Genomic DNA, 10,768 nt, shown 5'->3' on the forward strand with positions numbered 1-10,768 from the left:
AATTAGGTGGGCATGGTGATCCACACCTGTAGCCCCAGCTACTTGGGAGGCTGAGGCAGGAGAATCTCGAACTTGGGAGGAAGAGGTTGCAGTGAGCCAAGATCACACCACTGCACTCCAGCCTGGGTGACAGAGCAAGACTCTGTTAAAAAAAAAAAAAAAAAAAAGAAGGACTTCACCACAGGTGGAGTTGCAGCACTGAGGCTGGGGGAGTGGTGGTAGGGTTGGAGGGAGAAATACTTAGAACTTCCTTCTAGCTTTTTAATCTTTTCTGGTGACATCCTGTTGGTCAAATCCACAGAGAAGCCACAGGAAAAGTGAGCCTGTTGATACCATCCATACAGGCCAGCATGCTAGGACCTGGGGCAGTGCAGAGCATGGCAGAGAGTGGATCTGGTTGGGGGAGTGTCACAAACAGAGAATAACCAGTCCAATCCCAAATGCTCCTCTTTACTTGCTCTGTTGGGCCCCCAGACCCTGCGTGAAAAGTATGTTCTCCACTTTTCTGGAGCCGTTTTCAGAGCAGCATTGTCTCCCTCAGGGACTCTTAAGAGAGCTGACACAAGAAAATTAAAGTTTTGAGAGAGGCCAGGATGTTAAAAGCAAAATGCAGGGAGAGTTGGAGTCTGAATGCTTCAGTCATAGGCTGGGCAGTGAGCTCCAGGAAGGCAAGGAGGTCAATAAACACAGTGCCCCACTCTTTCCAGGACTGCTCTTGCTTTCTTCTTTCCTTGCTGCTTGAGGGGCATTTAATATTCTTGGCTACAGCATAGTGATTAAGAGCACGGCTTTGGAGTCAGACAGACCTGGCTCTTCCACGCCTGACTGTGTAAACTTGGACATGTTTGTTAACCTCTCTGAACATTGGGTCTCTCATCCATAAAATAGGAATAAAGCTACTTCTATTCATAGAGTTGTTGCCAGGGTTGAAGGAGATGCTTAAAACAAAGGATTTGGCCACCTAGTAGACTGTCGGGAAGTGATAGTTGAACTATTACACAGTTACTAGTGCATGACCTTCCCTGGTGGACTTACATGGCTGGGGTGCAGCCCCCTCTCAGCCCCCATCTCAGCTTCCTTGCCTCTATCAGATGCATGCTGCTGGCCCTGTGCCCCCAAGAAAGGCTGCTTGTCTGGCTCAGTCTGCAGAGCTCTGGGCAGGGAGGCTGGGAGAATGCAAATGTGCTCTTATCTGAGCAGCTGCAGCTGCTCCCTTCCTAGAGTCCATTCCCAGGAACAAGGGCAGGCTCTGAGCCCCCCAGGATGCCTCAGGCTTCTTCTGGCCCTGCTGAATCTATAATACCAACAATAATATCCAGTAATACCTCAGGCTTTTCCATTTGCAAAGTGCTTTGATTTTCATCCTCCTATTGTACCCTCCCACTGGTCTTGAATTTTTATCACCTACCATATTCTACAGAAGAGGAAAACCAAGGTCAGAATGGTCAAGAGACTTGCCCAGGGTCACATGGCTAATTGTTGATGGAATGAGGATTAGAATCCATGCAGTCTAACACCAGAATTAAAGTTCATTGTATTAGAGAGGGGGCTTCTGGCTGCAAGTAATAGAAAACCATGATTCAATATATTTAAGAAAGACTTTCATAAAGTTCATAACAGGTAGTCTGGAGGTCATTTGGTTCTGTGGTTAGTCAACATTTCAATGATGTCATCTGACTTGGATTCCTTCCATCTCTGAGTTCATGGGAATTACCCTCAGGTCAGCTCCTCTCAAGGTTACAAAGTGGCTGCTGTGGTTCCAGGTGTCATATGCAGATACAACATCCAGGGAAGATGAGAAGCCTGCTCTTAATTATGTTGCTTTAAGTGCAAGGAAACACTTCCCAGAAGTCACTGGTCAGAAGCTAGGTCCCATGTCTTTTTCCCAGACCAGTCTCTGGCAAAGGAGTGGAACTTCCTTAGACTATTAGACTTTACATCTGAGACGAGAGAGAGGGGGAAATGAGCCTGATGGGCAATGAATTGTCCTCTGCCTCCATGTTTATAACTACTATACTGTTAATTCTGGGCCTGTGACTCATCCTCTATTTGTGTCTATTATTAGTTGCAAAGTAGACTTCATGATATATAAGATAAATCTGGAGTCAGAATGCTGGAACTGTGGTCTTAGATGTCATTGCTTGGAGTTTAACTGGGACAAGAAACTTTCCTTCTCTAGAGGGTGTGAAATGTAGTGGGTATGCACTCTACCTCTGGAGTCAGAAAGTGCTGTTTCCCAATTCCAGCTGTGTGGCCATGAGCAAGTCTTCTCAACGTTCATTCTTCTTCAGTAAAGGGGGCCTAATAATGGCCCATGTCTCTAGACTAGTGAGGATTATAAAGAAAACAATGCAGAAGCACCTAGCATAGTGCCTAGTGCTTAGTGGGTACGTAATAAAGACTGGCCAGTATTACTCTAGGCGATAAGTTTCCTTATTTTGAGAATTAGGGACTTCGTAAAATATCCCTTTGAGTCCACATGGTCTATGAATCCTGTTTGGTCTCAGGGATCCTGGCTTTGCATTCAGCCCTGTGGTCAGCTCACTGCTCCTCTGGAAGAGACGGAACTGTTGATATCCCTTTGTCTCCAGGGAGAACCTTCCCAGGCAGCCATGATGTTCAGCTCCATCTCTCTGTTAAGCTATCCCACAGTCAATGTGCCATGCAAAAAGTCCACCTGACATTTCCTTCCAGGTGGTCAGTGCTATCCAGTGTGGAGGGACCTAGAGACCATAGCCTTCCTCAGAGATCACCAGGTGTCTGGTGGCATTTTCTTTCCCCTAAAGGGGTGGGGACAGCAAGTGACACCCACGCATCCACTGAGCCTCCCTGGTAAGTGGCTCATACAGCTGTTGTCCTGGAGCTGTTACAACAGTGGCAGACTGGGAAGAGTCTGTCATCAGGAGAAGCTTCCAGCATCATGGATCTAGGCTGGAAGTGCCCATGGCATGTCAGCTCAGATGTGATGGACCATGCAGTCAGGAGGCAGAGGTCCAGGCCATAGCCCAACTCTGCCCTTTGGCCTGGGTGATCCTAGGTAAAGCACTTTGTCTCAGAGAACCTCAGTTTCCTCACCTGGAACAGTAGTCAAAAATGTAGATTTTAGATACTGTCTGGGTTTAAATCCCAGCCTCATCACTGGTGCGTGACAATTGGCCTTAGAGTTAACCAATCTGGGCCACATTGTTAAAACACGGGTCCAAATCCAGGATAGTCTCCCCATCTCCCAGTCCTTAATCACATCTACAAAGTCCTTTTGCCAGACAAGGTGACATGTTCAGAGATTCTGGGGATTGGGATGTGGACATCTTTGAGGGGTCATTATTCTGTCTATCACAATTCTATATGATCCCATTTATATAAAGTTCAAGACAGGCTAAATCAATCTAATCAGGAGAGTTATTAGGCCTTGGGGGGAATGTGTGGGGACCCCTGATGTGAGTACTGGTTATACAGGTATATTTGCCTTGCAAAAAGTCACCAACCTGTAAATTTATGACGTGCACTTTTCTGAGTAACATGTTATAGTTCAATAAAATAATTAAACAGAATAAAGCTGGGACCCAAATGGTACCTACTTGGTCAGGAGGTGATGGGGGTTAAATGTGGTGTGACATGGTAAACACTTATTATTATAATAAGGAAAAGAGGGTTATATCGACTGTATAGCTTGTTCCTTCAGCAAACACTTTTCTGGTGAAAAATATTCCACAAAAAATTAAATAGAATTCATCTTCATCATTTACATGCATTTCATCATCAGAAAATTTTTTGAGAAAAAAATTCTCTTTTCATTAAACTTGTTTTATTTTATGTGAATGTGTTTATTTGGGAACAGAACGAAGCTGATGAGAAACAGCTGAATGAACATGTGGTTTTTAAAATGTTACATAACGAAAGAGAAGGAAACAGGAACAAAAATTAAATAGGATAATGCATGTGACAGAGAAGCCTAGGTCCCCCAGATACTTAACAACAAAAACATCTATAAATGTTGACACTCATGTAGGGAGGAATTAGGGCCACTTATCAAGTACTTGCTATGTGACAAACATAATGACATATTTCATTTTTAAAATCTTCAACATAACCCTACAAGGGAAGTATTTTATTATGCTGCTTTTATGAGGAAGTACTGGAGGTTTGAAGAAGTGAAATGACTTACCCAAAGTGTTTCAGCTAAAACCTCGTAGTGCTGGTATTTGAACCTAGGTCTGGGTGACCCCACAACCCCTTATCTGCCCTGCTGGTCTGGTCTCCAGTATTCCAACTCTGTGTATGCTACACCAGGCCTCCAACCTGGCTTCCGTTGCAAAGTAGAAACATGGTCATTGGAGTGAAAGGTGATCAAGACCCTAAATTCCTCCCTCCCCAGCCCAGGCAGAGGTAACGGCTGCTGCTCTGATTTATCAAAGCTCAGGGCATTCCTGCTTGTCCAGCTTGCGAATTCTCAGGGTCTTTCGAGAGCCTTTTGTGAGGATCATCCATATTCCTATCTGGATTCAGCTGGCTGCTCTCCATCCACGAAAAATTTGATATTTGGCTTCCTGTTTGTGCTTGAAAAACAGGGCTGACTCTGGAGCTATATTTTATTTAAGCCAATAAATAAAATTTTAGAGGAGTGAGTTTTGGAGGGGTGGAGGTAGGGTGCTGGAAAAGCCTGCAGGGAAGAAACCTCTTCTGCTTCTACAGCTTTTGGAAAGGAGACAAGAGAGTATGTCCTGTGGTAATCAAGGAAGAAAACAATGAGTATGTATTGAGTCTTTCCCAAGTGCCAGCTACTGTTATCTGGAGTGTGGTTTGAGCATCAGGATTTTTTAAAGCAATGAGGAGAAGCCAAGAAGCATACAGAGCCAGCTAAAGGTGCTCAGAGGAAGAAAACCTGAGGATCGAGGGTTGTTGGGGCAGAAGGTAAAAACAGTCTGTGAACAGGCAGTCTCTCTGACCCCTCAAAAAAAAAATCCACCCGCCTCGGCCTCCCAAAGTGCTGTGATTATAGGCGTGAGCCACCATGCCCGCCCTCAGGCCAAGTAATTTTTATGGAATAAAGTAGGCTTATCGGATTGCTCAAGCTTCGTTACACAGATGGGCAGAAGAACTGAAGTGGAACCGAAAAGGTTGCACCTGTCCCCATGTGTTCCTTTGTGCGTGGGAGTATGTAGGCATGAGTGAAGGCAGGTAGCATGAACACATGAGTGGCATGTGGATGAACGTGTGAGTGGTTGTAGGGACATTGCATGTGTGACTTTATGTGGGAATATCTTAGGTATATGTTTACGTATGTTTGTGTGTGTTGATCCATGTGTATACAGACCATGAAAGTATATCTCCAAGGGCTGGGCGCCGTGGCTCACGTCTGTAATCCCAGCACTTTGGGTGGCCAAGGCAGGCAGATTACGGGGTCAGGAGATCGAGACCATCTTGGCCAACATGGTGGAACCCTGTCTCTACTAAAACACAAAAAATTAGCGGGGCATGGTGGTGCATGCCTGTAGTCCCAGCTACTTGGGAGGCTGAGGCAGGAGAATTGCTTGAACCCAGGAGGCGGAGGTTTCAGTGAGCTGAGATTGCACCACTGCACTCCAGCCTGGCAATAGAGCAAGACTCCATCTCAAAAAAAAAAAAGTAGCGTATCTCTATGTGTCTGTTGAGGATATCTATGGGTGAATTTATGAGATGAAACTTGTGCACCTATAGGTACATGGAAACAAAAACATAGGCACGTGAGAAAGTGTCTGAAGTGTTTGTATTTGTACATATGAATTAGCCACTGCCACAATCATGCAGTGTAACAAGCCACCCCAATAATGTCTTACAACAACTAGCACCAATCCTGGGGTTGGAAAACTTCTTCCAAGCCTGGGCAACTTTTTCCATAAAGGGTCAGATGACATAATTTTAGGTTTTGTTGACCACGCGGTGTCTATTGCAACTATTCAACTCTACCCTTGTAAAGTGGAAGCAGCCGTAGACAATATATAAATGATGGGCATGGCTGTGCTCTATTAAACCGTTATTTACAAAAATAGGAATAGTTTGGATTTGGCCCATAGGCTATAGTTTTCTGATCCCTGGTCTAGTCTCACCACTCCGGGTTTGTATTTTGTGGTTAATCTAGATTGGGCTCATCTGGGTGGCTCTACCTTGGGCTGTGAGTCCAGCTGGGCTGCTGTACACACTGCACATGAAGTTTAGATCTGCTCTGTGTCCATCCTGGGGTCCCGGCTGAAGAGGCATGCTCTATTCCTGGCAGACTATTGGAGACCAAGAGAACAACCCAAAGCTTACAAACATATTTAAACCCTCCTTAGATAACCATTTGCTAATGTTTCGTTGGCCAAAGCAACTTATGTGATCAAGTCCACCATCAGTAGGTGGGGAAGTAAAGTAGGGCCATAGTGAGAGGCAATTTTGAATCTTGTGATGATGGGCATGGACATATGATTTTAATGCAAAGAGGGTGTGAATAATATCTTTCTTTTTTTCTTTCTTTTTTTTTTTTTAAGATGGAGTTTCACTCTTGTTGCCCAGGCTAGAGTGCGATGGTGCAAGCTCGGCTAACTGCAACTTCCACCTCACGGGTTCAAGTGATTCTCCTGCCTCAGCCTCCCAAGTAGCTGGGATTACAGGTGCCTGCCACCACGCCCAGCTAATTTTGTATTTTTAGTAGAGACAGAGTTTCACCATGTTGGTCAGGCTGGTCTTGAACTCCTGACCTCAGTTGATCCACCTGCCTCGGCCTCCCAAAGTGCTGGGATTACAGCTGTGAGCCACTGTGGCCAGCCAGGAATTTCAAACAATGATTCAAAATACTGCAACATGTATAAAGGCATGTGTGAGACTGTGTGTGGTGGGTTGTATGTTAGAGAATGTTTTGTATGTGTGCGGTTTTTAGGGGATGCATTTGTGGCCACATGTATAAGAGCATATCTGAGGAGGATATTTAGAAGATGTCATGTACCTGGGAGGCTATGTATGTGTGTGCCTCTGGGTGTATATGCATGACTATGAAGATGTCTCTGAATACGTCTGTGTGATATACATGCTGGCATGTGTGTGTGTGTGTGTGTTGGGGTGCATGTGGGTATATACGCATGGCTATAAAGATGTCCTTGGATGTATATATGTGCAGGGTAATGAGTATGCATGTGGGGTATATTTGTTGGGGGGCGTGTGTCAGGGGTGCATATGGGAGCATCGGTACACTTCTCAGGAGTGTGTGTGCATATATTGGTTGGGGGGAGAATGAGGGCAGAGAGTAGGGGTGAGAGACAAGAGATGGCACACACTCCCCTTCCCCTGGCGCAGCCTCAAAAATCACTCCAATCTCACAACGTGAGTTCTTTGTAGCTAAGATTAATTTTCTTATTTAGCATTTATGTGGCACTTTGGATCTGCAAAGTGCTTTACAATCAGTTTTATTAGCTGTGCTTGTGTGTTATATATAGCAGCAACCTCAGCTGCACCCAGACACTGTCTCCAGAGATGTGAACCAAACCAGGCAAACTTTATCCTCTTCCTCAAGCTTAGCCCATTTCCCGAGATAGTGTCAGCTTTTTTTTGTGGGGACAAGTATTAAAGTGGATTGGTGATGGTGGTGATGCTTGGAAGTGCTAATGTGAACCTGCCTTCTAAGTCTTTCCCTTATCCAGTGAGAAATCAGTGATTGTAATCACTGGATTACCTGCTTGCTCAGATCAGGGTTGTTGAATGAGGGGCTATTTGCAAGGCTAGTTTAAAACAACTCCCATTCTTGTGTTAATGCACCTGTTTCTTGTATTTGTCCTGATTTAAACTCTTGCAATGTGGCTACTGACCTGCCTTAGTGTGAGTTTCCCCCAAAGCAGACTATGCAACAAAGACTTAGGCACAAAGAATTCATTAGGGAGGTGATTCTAGGAAGCATAAGCCAATCAAAGGTGTGGTGTTGAGCAGTTGCTGCTGTGGGCAACTGGAGCTTAATTCTGCTGAGAAACCATGCTTAAGAAGCATTTCCTTAGAGAACTGAGAAACTGGGGTACTTATCTACCCATTCCCACACCAGACTGGTTAGGGGTTGTCCCCCAGGATGTTAACTCCCCTACACATCTGAGTTGAGACTACTTGAGGCCAAGCAAGCTTCTCTGGAGTTGGAGAAAGTCCTCAGGTGAAGAGGATAACTGGACACGGTTGTTCAAGGTAAGAAGTTTCTGCATGGGGGAATAATCTGCTGCAGCTGCTGGTAAATTCACATGGCCCAAAGGCAGGGGTAGGGATCAACAGTGTCTGCTCTGCCCTCCTGCACCCTAGTGAAATCTTTTCTCAAGGTTGTAAATTCCATGAGCAGGTCCTTGCCTCAATGTCTTCACCCTTTGCAGCAATTGACTGTCCTGGGACTCTGTGCCATCCTGGTTTCTCTGTCTCTCTCTCCAACTGCTCCTTCTCTATTTCTTTTTTTTCTTTTCCCCAAATGTGGATATTTCCCAAATATCTCTTTGTTTTTTCCTTGCCCATACTCATGCTCACCAACATCCTATATGATGTGCCAAATTGAAAGCTGTAATCATCGCCCCTCTCTCCAGTGCCTAGTCCTGTGTTGTTAGCACTGCCTCATTGAAATATTCATCAGATAATCACTTGAGCAACTCAAGCTCAGCATTTCCAAATCCAACTCACCATCCTTGACCTCCTGCTCAAATCAGCTGCAACCTTGCTTCTCAAGTGTGTTTCAGGGCCAGCCTCATCAGCATCACCTGGGAGCTTGTAGACGCAGAATCACAGGCCCACCACAGACCAAGTGAATCAAGATGTGTGTTTTTAACAAGTCCCTGGATGACTCGCGTGCATATTAATGTTTGATAAGCATTGGTCTACACTACCGATTCTCTTGATTTCTATTAATGGCACCAGGGTTTTTCCAGTTGCTCAGTCTTTCAAACTTGGCAATCCCTTGAATCCTAGGAGTAAGTATCCACTAGCTTTCTCTAACTCAGGATTTTTGTGGGACCTGGGTCTCAGACAACAAGTCATAATAATAATGTAACTGGTATTGATATGTTTCAGTTGAATAAGTCCATGTCAATACCATCACACATACAATTTCACTTCTATAAATATTTATAGAGCTCCTTCTCTATGGTTGGTTCCATGCTAAGCTGTGATGGTGTAATGTTGAACAAAACTCAGTCTTTAGCCTCAAGGAGTTCACAGTTCAGAGGAAGCAGATACAAATAGACACAGAGAGAAAAAGTAAAGAATGCCATGGAAACCAGAGGAACCCTAACATAGCCCTGCAGGGTCAGAGGAGAGTCTGAAAGGAACCAGAAGGATGGGCAGACCTAACTAGTGAAGGTGAGAAAAAGAAAGGGCTTTGGGCAGAGGAATGGTTTGTGCACACACTGGGCTGGGATTGGGGCAGGGTACATTGGAGGACTCTGCCCTGTTTGTGATGTAGGGGGACATCACCTTACCTCTCCTGCCTCATTTGTCTCAACTTTTAACATGCAAACAGTAGGGTCATTGTGAAAATTCAGTAAAAATCAGGACATTTCAGAACTGCAACTACTTGGTCCTCATAAATATTGATTGAATATAAATTGTCAGCAACCACAGCTCGTACCTTAATTATGGAAATAATAATCATGGTAGTGGATTGAATGGTGGCTTCCCCCCTCCCCCAAAAGATGTCCCCATGTCAAATCATCTGAACCAGTGAATGTAATTTTATTTGGAAAAGGGGTCTTTGCAGGTGTAAAGATTTCAAGATGAGACCATCCGGAATTATCTGAGTAGGCACTATATTCAATGTCAAGTGTCCTGATAAGAAAAGGAGAGGACACAGGACAGGAGACAGGCCATGTGAAGATGGAGGCAGAGATTGGAGTGATTCAGCCAAAAGCCAACAAATGCCTGGAGCCACCAGAAGCTGAAAGGGGCCAGAAAGGATCCTCCCCTAGAGCCTTTGGAGGGAGCGTGGTCCTGTTGACATGTTGATTTTGGATTTCTCCAGAACTGTGAGAGAGTACATTGGAGTGGTTTGAACCATGAAATTTGTGGTAATTTGTACAGCAGTGGCAAGAAACTGATACACATGGTTATTGATTTTTTCAAATTCTCTACCTGTCAGGTGTGGATTCCTCCTCAATGATGTTTTGAAGTAATGCTATTATGCCCATTTTATGGATAAGGACTACTAAGGCTCATGGAGGAGAAGCAACTCTTTCTTGCTCATTCGTTCACTGAATATTGACTGGCCTCTTAGCTGACCAGACACTGGGGGACAGAGTCATGGGTAAAGGTTTGCAGAGGTCTCAGGGCTTGTAAGTTTAGAGGAGGGAGAATGAATAACCATTACTGGGTTATATGAATAACCCATACTGGGTTGAATAGTGCTTCCTCTCCCCAAACTTATTTCTACCTTGGACCTTGGAATGTGACCTTTTCTGTGAAATGGGAGAGTTCCCTGATTCCCCTGGCAGGATGTGCAACAGAGGTGCGTCTTGCCTATTCAGTCACCCCGCAGCTCAAACACCTAGGGGGAGCATGCAGATGGGCAGGTGGAGAGGCTGGGCAAGTGCTTTGGGCTCTTGGCCCCACAGTAGTGTCTACGGGTGGGTGCTTGCAACCCCAGTGTTACAAAGCTCTTTCAGCTTTGCCATCTGCAGATGGCTTGAGTGTTAATCAGCTCAATGGACCCTCGGCCTTATCAGAAGGGCAGAGGGCCAATGTGACAGCTTTCTGTATCCTGAGCTCTTGCCCAGTGTCTCAGAAGAATCACATCACACAAGGG

The sequence above is a fragment of the Homo sapiens genome, chromosome 12, assembly GCF_000001405.40.
Source record: "Homo sapiens chromosome 12, GRCh38.p14 Primary Assembly".
NCBI lineage: Eukaryota > Metazoa > Chordata > Mammalia > Primates > Hominidae > Homo > Homo sapiens.